The 12,912-nt window shown below is 39.2% G+C and overlaps 1 long non-coding RNA gene across 1 annotated transcript; it reads right to left on the reverse strand.

The window, feature by feature from the left end:
* Positions 1–1,767: 1,767 nt before the first annotated feature.
* Positions 1,768–2,759, reverse strand: LINC02123 (long intergenic non-protein coding RNA 2123). Its single transcript, NR_134277.1, has 2 exons — positions 2,658–2,759; positions 1,768–2,550 (listed from the first exon to the last, which is right to left on the reverse strand). It is a non-coding gene; the product is annotated as a long intergenic non-protein coding RNA 2123 (long non-coding RNA).
* Between the last annotated feature and the right edge of the window lie 10,153 nt (positions 2,760–12,912).

A 12,912-nucleotide genomic window follows, 5' to 3' on the forward strand; every position in this document is an offset into this window, starting at 1 on the left:
CAATAATAATGCCTTCCATTTATTGACCATCTTGTGGCAGAAATCCTTTGAGCACTTCCCTACTTCCCTAGAGTTCTTTCATGAAACACATCAGCAGCTCTGGGTATTGCCATTTGCAGAATTGAGGAGGGTATGGGAAGCTGAAGTTCAGGGACATTACTTTGCTGTGAATTTGCCACCAGAAATGGTGGTGTCCAGGACTGTATCAAAGCCATATGGCCATGAGGATTTTGCTTTGAGTAAAGTTGGGATAACTTTTAGAGTTCTGTAAGATGGGAGGATGAATTGGACCTTCCTCCTAGGGTGAGGCTTAGATGAGTTCCCACATCTCAGGACACGCAACAGGCTGGGCACAGCCACTGCTGGGTAAAGGCTGCCACTGATATTATTTGTATTATTTTGTTTTTATTATAGTTGTCATCTTGTTGCTTGTCTGTGCTTCTGAAATTACAGTTAAGTGAGCATCCAAAGGCTCTTCTCAATCCCAAAGCCCACCCCTCCGCTTCTGCCCTTCAAGTGGTATCAGTGGAGCACTGCGTGGTTAGGACTTTCGGCGTAAGAGACAATTAATCAAAGTTAATGGACACTTCTTTGTTACACAACACGACTAATGTCAATGGCAAACAAATCACTGAAAAACAATGACCAATAAACCCAACTGAAAGGTTTTTCCATTGAAAATAAAATCAACCATGCCTAATCTACTTGGATTTCAAATGAAGTCATAATTGCTTTTTGCTGAAACTACTCCAGTTACCCAATACCCTGCACCAGTAATGATTAAACAAATCTATGAACTTAAACTTGGGAATTAGTGAAGGGCTTTTCTTCGGGCAAAAAATTGTACAAACAATCCCTAGGATGTTAATCAATGAAACAAATTAACAGTCAGGAGCCCAGGCTCAGAACCTGGTGTACCATGGATTCAAATACTTGCTGTGCCACTTGGCTTCAGATCTTGAACAATTCACTGAATGTCCCATGTGCCTTACTTTGCTAATCCCTATAATGGGGATGATGATAGTACCTGTTTCATTGGATTGTTGGGCTGATTGTGTGAGTGAATACATATAAAATGCTTAGAACAGTGTCTGGCATGTAACGAGCAGTCAAAACAGGGTTGACATTATTATTATTATTTAGATGTTTCGCAAATTACTAGTTTTGTTTTTTCAAATATCTATTCTTCTAAACACTTTTTTTTTTTTCTGGTCAGGCACAGTGGCTCACGCCTGTAATCCCAGTACTTTGGGAGGCCAAGGCAGGCAGATCACTTGAGGTCAGGAGTTTAAGACCAGCCTGGCCAACATAATGAAACCCCGTCTCTACTAAAAATACAAAAAAATTAGCCAGGTGTTGTTGCGGGCGCCTGTAATCCTAGCTACTCTGGAGGCTGAGGCAGGAGAATTGCTTGAACCCAAGAGGTGGAGGTTGCAGTGAGCTGATGTCGTGCCACTGCTCTTCAGCCTGGGTGACAGAGCAAGACTCTGTCTCAAAAAATAAATAAATAAAAATAAAATAAATAAATAAACACATTTTTCTGCATATTCCTTAGAGATAATTGAGTTATGAACTGGGTAAGACTCCAAACGGAGCCCAGTTGCACCTTCGCGTCATCTATATTCCCGTTTTCACATGTCCCTCACACCCGTGCTAGGATGATTGAGTATGACAGAGACATGCCTCCCCCATGCCTGTGCTTTAGGGAACTAGCTCATCCACTTCTCCCACGGCCCCACTGAACTCTGGGCTGAGTAACTAGGCCTCTGGGGTTGGAGGACTAAAGCTCAGAAGTGGGCACCTAAAGAGGAGATTTTCTGGTGCATTCTCTTCCACCAATGTTCTAATGCAAAGTCTATCAGGAAATCTAGGTTTATATATCTCTGAAGAGTGTTTATTCAATTTACCAAAAAGAATATAAAATGTACAGTAAGTTCTTTCTAAAATATAAGTGTTTCCATTATCTTTGATGTATGAGTGAATAAAACATTGATTTAGACAATGTGGCATGTGCCCCAGAAATGGAAATACAGCATTGGTCTGGGGAAGGGATTAATATTTATTGATCACTACTATGTGCCAGACATTTTATATACAACTTATTTCAATTTCAATTTCACATCAACCCAGTACAGTAGGTTTGACACCAATTTTTTAAAAAAGACCATTTATTCTCAGAGTTGTTGAACAATCTGGACTGTATTGGACGGCGGAGTAGTGAGTTAGAGTGTCCATCACTCCATCCGGGGCCCTCTTGCCCTACCAAAACCCAGCCCCCAACAGCCCGTCCCACTGAGCAGCTGGAGTCCATCCTGTAAGGCAGCAGGCTTTTCACATGATTGCCCCGCATATCATTTGCTTTGCATCTCTTTAAATTGTACCAGTTAGTCTCCCCAGGGCCTCCCCAGATTCCAAGTAGATCCCTCTGGCAGCTCTGCTGTGCTTGGCATTACCAGCACTCTCTGAGCTGAGACTCAGCCTCTTCCTCTTAACTTGTGCAGCCAAAGTTCTCTGCACACCTCATCGGCAGGTTCATCTTCTCAGTGAAGCCTGTAGAGATGGGAAACAAGTAGATACAAAATTACATATGAATTTAGATTTTTTTTTTCTAAAGCAATAGGAAAATTTACTCATCTATTTTTCCCGTTTACCCCTACTTTAATTCTGTTTTCCCTTTCTAAGTTTACACAATAAGCAGCTAATCCCACTTGCTCTCTCTTTTGGGCCTGGAGTTCCTTAGGGCAGCTCTCTCACCCCACAAAGGAGCCAGGAGTTCTCTGGCTGCCTCCTTCCTAAGCTTGGAGGGTGCATTGCCCTGCTTTTCTTTCTATGTGGATGCTGAAATCTTCTCAGTTGTATCATGGTTGAAAGCTTCATTATTCCTTTTGCCTGTAAGAAGAGCCTTAGATTGAAACAGAATATCTAATTACATTGGAAGGAAAAATATCGACATTCATTTATAAAATATCTTCCTGGTATCTTCCTAGACAGACGTTCCGTTTAATGAACTAGAGAGCTACTAGCTTCCCTCCCATCACTGCAGAAATCATACAGATAAGATGCCAGGGCTAGCAGAGTTAAGAGGCAGTGGTTATGCAGCTCTAGTTTCCTAACATACTCGGGCTATGTTAGAATAAAAAAGTCTTTGAGGGCTGGTGCTGGCTGGGGCAGGGGCCAGCTCCGATGAAAGCACACTGCAAGCTTCAGTAGAGAAACAACAGGGGCCCGAGCACAACTTCAAAAAGCAGTTGCAAGGACTACAGATATTTCCTTTTTTTTTTTTTTTTCCAAGTTTGAGGATTGAAGCTGGAGCATCGGAACTTCAGGAAAAGAAGGAGCAGCGCAAGGAAGACTGAGATGATTTCTGATGATCATCAGAGCAAAGGAAGTGCTGAGCAGTGAATGAGGCTGTCTTAATTCTCCCACTTGAGCTTGAGAGCAGCAGTCAGGAGCTGTCTGCATCTCCTTTCATTCTCCTTTCATTCAACGTTATGTAACAGTCCCTCTAAAAGGAAACTCTCTACCTAGCTACTGAATTAATTGATGTCCTTAAGCCCTGGGGGAACCTCTGTGGGCAGCCATGTTGCTGCCTCAAAATGGGAAGAAAGAGAAATCACTCAGGGGAATATAATTTTGTATTGTTCTTCATGAGACAGGAGAGAAGAAGGGAGTGTTGGGAGTTCTGGACTGGAAGAAATGTGTGTAACTAAATATAGTAATTGCATTATTCACAGCAGGCTTATGCTGCAGTTGTATTTATTGCTGCATGAAATTTTTTTTCTATAAGATTCAGAGCCTATATTTATAGGATCAAAGTCAATAATTTTTAAAATTATTATTATCACAAAAGTATTGGGAATGCCCTTGAACTTGTTATAGTTTTAAAAGTGTAAAATTGCATTCTGATTCTGACTGAAATTAATGGGCTCAGGCACTCACTGGGGGCTCTGGAAAATACACAAAATACACACAAACTTCCATATAACTTTTAAAACAAACTCAGTATTGATAATGAGACTGCTTCACCAGATAATACAAGCAAAAGTATGGGTGTGGTAAAATATTCAGAGATTTAGGCCAGTCTTCGGGCAAGACAGCAGAGTAGGTTCTTCCTGGTATCTATTTTAAGAATCTAGCAGCAAAAGAAAATGGTAGAACCATTTGGGAATTCTTCATGGACGGTTGGCTGTGAGAAAATAACGCTGTCAAGGCTGTGCTTTGCTAAACAGGCAGGCTACCGTCCATGTGTGCTCCACACCCTGATGAAAATGATCAGAGCTCTGCCTTGACAAACGGCAACCATTCCGTTTCTATTCCATTGAAAGGCAGCCCCAAAATGGCATCTAGTGAAGAAATCAATGAAAGAATGGTGTTTTTTTAGTTGAACTATTTATTGAGATAATTGAACATTCACATGCATTTGTAAGTAATAATATACAGAGATCCTCTCTACCCTTTACTCATTTTCCCTCAATGGTAACACCTTGGAAAATTATAGTGCAATTATCACAACCAGGGTATAGACATTAATACAATCCTCCAACCTGACCCCGATTTCCTGGTTTGCTTGTATTCATTTGTATGGCGTGTGTGTGTGTGTTTCGTTCTGCATAATTTTATTATGCATGTAGGTCCTGCTTCCTGCATGCACCGCTACAATCTAGATATCTACATACAGAACAATTCTGTATGGCTTTTCCTTCTTTTAAAACCACACCCACCTTCCGTTGGCCCCACTCCTCACCTCCCAGGGCCTAAGTCCTGGCAACTACTAATCTATTCCTCTGCGTTTCTAACATTTTGTTATTTCAAAAACATTATGCAAGTGGAATCATACAGTATGTAAACTTTTGGGGATTCGCTTTTTTCACTCAATGTGTTTCCTTAGAGATTCATTCAAGTTGTCAGGTGTATCAATAGTTTGTTCCTTTTACTGCTTCATGGTCTGTGATCTGGATATATCATGGTTTGTTTAACATTTACCTTTGAAGAACATCTGTGCTGCTTCCAGTTTGGGGCTATTATAAATAAAGCTGTGATGAACATTTGTGTATAGTTTTTGGTGTGAACATAAGTCTTCATTTCTCTGGGACAAATGCCTATGGGTGCCATTACTGGGTTATTTTGTATTTTCATGCTGGGTTTTATAAGAAACTGTCAAATTGCTTTCCAGATTGTACCATTTCACATCCCCACCAACAATGTGTGAGTGATCTGGTTTCTCTGCATCCTTGCCAGCATTTAGTGTTGTCGCTATTTTTTATTTTAACCATCCTAGTAGGTGTGTAGTGATAACGGATGATGGTTTTAATTTGCATTTCCCTGATGGCTAATGATGATGAGCATCTTTTCATGTGGTTATTTGCCATCTGTATTTATTCTTGGCAGAAGGTCTGTAGGTATCTTGCCCATTTTCCATTTGGATTGTTCAGTTTTTTACTGTTGAGTTGGAAAGTTCTTTTTATATGCTAAATATTAGTCTTTTGTTGGACGTGTGGTTTGCAAAGATTTTCTCCCAGTCTGCCACCTGTCTTTTCATCCTCTTCACATGGTCCCTTTCAGACAAAAAGTTTTGACATTTCACGAGGCCTCATTTACCATTTTTTTCATGGATTATACTTTGGCAACAAGTCTAAGTACTCCTTGCCTAGATCGCAAAGTCTCCTATGTTTTGTTTGTTTGTTTGTTTGTTTTGGTTTTTTTCCCTAAAAGTTTTATCATTTTAAGGTCTACATATAAATTCATGACTTATCTTGACTCAATTCTTGTATGAGATATGAGGTTTCATTGCAGTTCCTGTTGTTGCCTATGGATGCCCAGTTTCTCAAGCACCGTTTTCTGAAAAGGCTCTCCCTCCTCCCTCCTTCTCTCAATTGTTTTCACACCTTTGTCAAAAGCCAGTTGAGCATGTCTGTATGTGTCTATTTCTGGGGTCTGTATTCTGTTTCTTCAGTCTATGAAAGCAGAGCTTTAAGAATTGTTCTGAGACATGAAAAGCCCATTCAGTTTTTTTGTTTGTGTCCCTTGAATAAGCATGCTCTGCACTTTTATTTTCTCATATGTATGCTAACTTCTACGTGTGTTTGGAAATGAAGATGATACAGGAGCTAAGAAGAAAGTACTTAGGCAGATAATGAGGGTACAGAGTCCTCAGTAAGGTTTTCCTTTCAATAAAAAGCAGCCCCCAAGTCATTTTCTTTTCTAACAAAGAGCAGCCTGTAAAATTGAGCTGCAGACATAGACAAGCAAGCTGGAAGCTTGCACAGAAGAATGTTGGCAGTTGTGCCAATAGGAATATACTACCTGCGGCTAGGCATGTTCAAAATGGTGGCTCCATTTTCTCTTTTTGCCAGCCACATGTACAGCAAGGAGCAGGGAAGATGGCACTGGCCAAGCAGAAAGCCCATTTGCATAATAAGATTAGGCTGGGGCGACAAGCCTTCCCTGAGCACCATGTCAATGTCACACCTGGTGGAACCAATATGGGGGCCCTACGTAAATCAGACACCGCCCCCTCAAGCCTGCCTATAAATTCTGCTGTGGTCCACCACTTTTTCCTTTTCAGACGCCCCTCCTAACAAGATAGACAGAGAGCTGCTCTCCTCTCTTCTTTCTTCTGCCTATTAAACCTTCTGCTCCTTAACTCACTCCATGTGTGTGTCTGTGTCACTAATCTCGGCACAAGACGCTGAACCCCAGGTATTTACCTCAGACAAGAATGCCACTTCAAAGACACACACACCTAACCCTTTACATATATACATACATATAAATACACACATATATATTCAGGTGTGTATGATATACACACACACATACGCACATACATCACACACACATATATATGTATATCTATATAACTAAAAATATAAAACTCTCGTGTAAGTTAATTAGAGTAAAACCTCATCACATCATGAGTTGCCAATTAAAGGTTTATGATTTTCTTATTTAGAAATAAATTTTCCAGGCCAGGTGCAGTAGCTCACTCCTGCAATCCCATAACTTTGGGAGGCTGAGGCAGGCAGATTGCTTAAGCCCAGGAGTTCAAGATCAGCCTGGACAACATAGTCAGATGCCATCTCTAAAAATAAAAATAAAAAATTAGCTGGGTGTGGTGGTGTGCTCCAGTAGTCGCAGTTACTTGAGAGGCTGAGGCAGAAGGACAGCTTGTGCCTGGGAGGTCAAGGCTGCAGTGGTCTGTGATCATGCCACTGCACTCCAGCCTGGGAAACAAAGTGAGATGCTGTCTTGGAAAAAAAAAAAATTTCCTACATTATACTTACAGTAACAAAATTTAAGTTGTAATTCACTCTACTTGTACCTAACATTAATTTTATAATTGCTCTGTCACTATTTCCTTATTTTTTACTGTCATAATAATAATAGCTAGTAGTTGGGGAATAAGAGTTTTCTTAATTCAAGTTGTACATTTTTAAACTTAAGTGAAACTTAAGCTGAGCACTTATTAATCATATTTTATGTCCAAGGAATGGAATTTCCCTTTCTTTTTTCAAAATCAAATTGAAATTTAAAACCTGATAACAAATTGATTATGAGCAGTGGTAAATCAGATTCATATTTTGTGCTGAAAATTATATGAATATGTGTGATTATAAGATATAAGGGCATAGACACACACACACACATTTACTTAAGAAAAAAGTCATTGGTTCATGATGCCAATACTTGTTAAGACTACAAAAAAAATTGTCCCTTGAGAGCTGAATTAGCGAAATCCATGTAGAGGTTAGTTCTCAGCACAGTTCTCCTAAATGAGGGAATATTTTTCAAGTCAAAGTAGAATTCTTAGTACATTTTGGACTAAATATGAAAGACAAATATAACCAACAAAATGTCATTAATAAATGCTAAAATTGAATTATTTGTGTGGGATTCCAAAAAGTGAGGATTTGAAGCTTATCATATCCCTGGTATTTCCAATGGAGCAAGCAACCTGATGAACAAAAATTATGTATATACATATACCTTATATTATGAGGAGAGAGAGAAAGAGACAGAGAGACAGAGAGAGAAAGGGAAATATTAATGCATTAATGCATTAAATTTTTAGGTTGATCACACTGGTCATTCGAATAACATTTTATTTCCTAATTTTCTCATATTATGCACATGAAATAATTTTACCATTTCTATTGATTTTCCTTTAGCACCTACGTCATGGAGAAAATGTGTCTACCCGCAACTCCCGCTAACAAACATGGTCATTTATTGGCCAGTTTAGTTCCCATTTTCAGTTAATAACTTGGCTTTATTGTCTACACGTCAGACCCTTGTGAATGTTGTGTAGTTGTTGCTGTGAATGGATGCCCTTCAACACTAACTACATGCACAGAAATCAATTTCTGCACCTACAGAGCTGAGGATAAGACCCTGGGCTCTGGCCTCCCTCCAAGGCTGGGTACCTTGGGAGACCTGCCCTGAAATCAGCTGACCATGTCGTAATTGTCATCTCATCTCATGCCTCTTGGTCACTGCCACACAGAGTATACTCTGTAGTGGAGGAGAAAATAAAAGGCTGTAGAGAATCAGAGCCTAAACTATCTGGTAACCATTACAGGATATTTAGAATTAATCCACTTGTACACCTGATTTCTACCTCTTGTTGACTCATCAGCTTCATCTTGTTTATTTATCTGTTCTCCTGCAAAACAGCTTCTCATAAGAAAGGTTGGCAGTCTGCTGTAGACTTCTTGGTCCATTTCCTTTTGCATTGGTAAACTTTGTTCAGACTGAATGGAACCTGCTGCCTAGAACATTTTGCCTTGATTAACGCCGAATAACTATGTCTCTTACAGAGTTACAACTATCCCAACTTTATCTGCAAATACATCTTTACTAAAACGTTATTTTTTTTTTACTGGATGTAATTCTTAATAGACCTTGTTTCTTAGCACATCTTTCGGTTTCCTGCAAAACTGATCAAAAGGTACAGAGATTTCCCATGTACCCACTCTGCCCCCACACCTGCACAGCCTGCCTCATCATAAAAATCCCCCACCAGGGTGTATGCTTGTTAAAACTGGTGAACCTATATCAACACATCATTAAAAGATTATAGTTTACATTACAGTTCAATTTTGGTGTTGTACATCCTCCAGATTTGGAAAAATTTATAATGACCTGTATTCACCATTGGAGTGTCATACAGTGTAATTTCACATTGCTGTGGTGTTCATGAGCATGGTTTTGTATTTTACAGAAGTATCAGTGTTTGGCCTAAAAATGCTTTGTGCTCTGTCTAGTCATCCCCCACTTCCCCCAACCCCTGGCAACCACTAACCTTTTCACGGTCTCCATAGTTGCATTTTTCAGAATGTCACATATTTGGAATTGTACAGTAACCAGCCTTTTCACATTGGATTTTTTCACTAAGTAACATGCATTTAAGTTTCCTCCATGTCTTTTATAGCTTAGCTTGATAGCTCATTTCTTTTTTTGTGTTGAATAATATTTCATTGTCTGGATGTACCACAGTTTATTTACCCAGTCACCTACTGCAGGACATTTTGGTTGCTTCCAAGTTTGTCGATTATGAATAAGGCTGTTGTAAACATCTATGTACATGTTTTTGTGTGAGCAGAAGGTTTCAGCTTGTTGGGATGATCAGACACAACACCAGGCCATGGGGGCTACGAAGTCCATTGGAGTCAAAGGAATGAGACAAGACAAGTTAAGAGTGAAAGTGGGTCCAGGGGGCCAATGCTAGTGTGGAGGCTGCAAAGCTCCCAAGCTCTGGGAGACCACACTATTTATTGGTGATCAAACAAAGAAGCAGGCAGTGAGGACATGGGGGTCAAAAGGAAGTGGTGCATCAAGCATTTGATCTATAGTTGTGTCAGTTTAGCATTTTCTTTGAAGCCTATGGAACATGTTTGGCTACTCGAGATAATGGGGAACATGTCCTTCTAACTCAAGATACAATTGATTTATGATCCTGGGAGAGCAAGAAGTAAGGAGCCAGCAAGTCTGAACACATTCCAGAGGCCACGAGGGGTTTTATGCCCTGAGCCCTGGATTCCATCCAAGCCACAAGGGGTTTAATGCTCTGGGCTTAAATTGTAGTGCGGCAGGGCAGCCTTCCACCCTTAAGCACAGAGCTTGGTGTTCCATAGGCCACGAGGGGTTTTAGACCCTGGACCCAGGACATGTTCCAGGACTTTTTATATTATGTCAAGACTAGCAAGTCCTGCCTCAGCTCTTCTACCAACACAGCTCCTTTGGGTAAATACCAAGGAGCATGATTGCTAGATCATATGGTAAGAGTATATTTAGCTGTGTAGGAAACACCCAAACTGTCTTCCGAATGGGCTGTACCATTTTGCATTTCTCCAGCAGTGTCTGAGAGTTTCTGCTGCTCACATCCTTGTCAGCATTTGGTGTTGTCAGTGTTCTGGATTTTGGCCATGCTAATAGGTATGTAGTGGTATCTCACTGTTGTATTAACTTGCATTTCCCTGATGACATGGGATGTGGAACATCTTTTAATAAGCTTATTTGCCACCTGTATATCTTCTTACATTAGGTGTCTGTTAAGATCATTGGCCCTTTTTAAAATCAAACTTTTTGTTTTTTATAGTTAAGTTTTAAGAGTTCTTTATATATTTTGGTTAATAGTCTTTTATCAGATATGTCTTTGCAAATATTTTTTCTCAGTCTCTAGCTTGTCTTGTCATTCTCTTGATAGTGTCATTCACAAAGCAGACTATTTTAATTTTAATAAAGTCCGATTTATCAATTCTGTCTTTAATGGACCATGCCTTTGGTGTTGTGTATAGAAAGTGATTACTGAAGCATTGGTTATCTGGATTTTCCATTATGTTATTTTCCAGGATTTTTATAGTTTCACATTTCACATCTAGATCTGTGATCCATTTTGAGTTAATTTTTGTGAAGACCAGAAAGTCTATGTTTAGATTTATTTTTTGCATGTGAATAACCAGTTGTTCCAGCACCATTGGTTGACAGAGAGTACCTTTTCTCCATTCTATTGCCTTTACTTCTTTGTCACAGATCAGCTGACCAAATTTATGTGGGTCTATTTCTGGGATCTCTGTTCTATTCTATTGATCTATTTGTCTGTTCTTTTGCCAATACCACAATGTCTTGGTTACTGTAGCTTCAAGTCAGGCAGTGTCAGTCTTCCAACTCTGTTCTTTTTTTTTTTTCTCTTTTTTGAGACAGAGTCTCACTCGGTCACCCAGGCCAGGGTAGAGTGGTGTGATCTTGGCTCACTGCAGCCTCTGACTCCCAGGTTCAAGCGATTCTCCTGCCTTAGCCTCCTGAGTAGCTGGGACTACAGGTATGCATCACCATACCTGGCTAAATTTTTGTATTTTTAGTACAGATGGGGTTTCACCATGTTAGTCAGGATGGTCTCGATCTCCTAACCTCATGATCTGCCTGCCTCAGCCTCCCAAAGTGCTGGGATAATAGGCATGAGCCACCGCACCTGGCCTCCCAACTCTGTTCTTATTCTTCAATATAGTGTAGGCTATTCTGGGTCTTTTGCCTCGGCCTATAAACTTTAGAATCTGCTTGTCTGGATAGAATTCCTTCAAAGTTTTTGGTTTCCTTATTTTACAAAAACTTATCTGGTTTTTCTTTCCTTCAGGTAATATTTTTGTTATAGTGAAATCCATGGCTCTGCTATTAAAAATGTGGTCTACAGATTGTTGGCTCCCATGAATCATTTGTTGCTGCTCCATTACATAAGTGCAGAAAGTGACAGCAACCACATGGAAGGTTTTATAGTAATTTAACATTGCTATGGCATCCATAAACATAGTTTTGTATTTTACAAAAGTATCAGTCTGTGATCTATAGGAAATTAAAATTTTGGCCTTTGTGCACAAATAGTGCAAAAAAAGCATGGTTCTATGATACTATTTTTAAATTAGTTACTTGAAGATTTTCTCAAGCAGCTGGGAATTTGCTTGTGCTAACATCTAAAAATATAAATTAAGTGTTATTTTGATGTTTTAAAATTTTATATCCAGTGAAATCTCTTTGACTTAAACTATCCATCAATATGTAGATGTTTGGACAAAAATAATGATTAAGATACCAGAGATTTAAAATGAAAAGTCATTTGTCTCAGTCATAAACATTTCTATTAAATGCATTAATTTCTTTTTTATCAACGCTACTGAGTAAACATATTTGGATAAGGATTTCGCATCACCTTCTGGACTTTGATTCTCTCCACTGAGTATAAGTAGCACAGGGGAGAGGAATATATCTGTATTAATACTAGATGGTTTCCTCAAAACTGCACTTCTTAGAAATCATCTTCATTATTTTGCTCATTTTTAGATTAGCACTAAAAATTCAGTAGAAAAATCTTACATTGGGGGAATCATAATAGTTTAATAAAATGTCATTCACCAGACAATATTTTTTCATTGTACAATAAACGTCAATTCAGTAAGACTGTTATGAACTCTTGGTGTACCAGAGAATCATTCAATGTGCTATAAGAGATTACAAATAAGTCAATGATACTATCCTTTTCTGAAGAGATGACATACACAAACAAAAATGCTAATTACCAATTAAGGGGCCAATATGAAAATGAAGAAAAGCAAAGGTGGTGTAGAGGAGATACTTCCATGCTGCAAGACCTCAGAGCAAGGGAAAGAGGCTTCCAAAACAGAGTTAATTTAATAGTTTACTTCTATGTCCAGAATGTTCATCTTGGACTTAAAAAGACCTGCAGGATTTGATTTGACAGGGGGAGAAGAGTTTAGAGCCATCCAAAATGGATTTTAGAAGTAGGAGATAGGACAAGACTGGAGCTTGGGGATTTGAAAGATGCCTAATAGAATAAAAGCTGTTTATTTAGAACTAAATGTGGAGGGGAGGGGATGAGGAGTAAAAGAGAACATTGGATTG

This window comes from Homo sapiens, chromosome 5, assembly GCF_000001405.40.
Source record: "Homo sapiens chromosome 5, GRCh38.p14 Primary Assembly".
In the NCBI taxonomy this organism is placed as follows: Eukaryota; Metazoa; Chordata; class Mammalia; order Primates; family Hominidae; genus Homo; species Homo sapiens.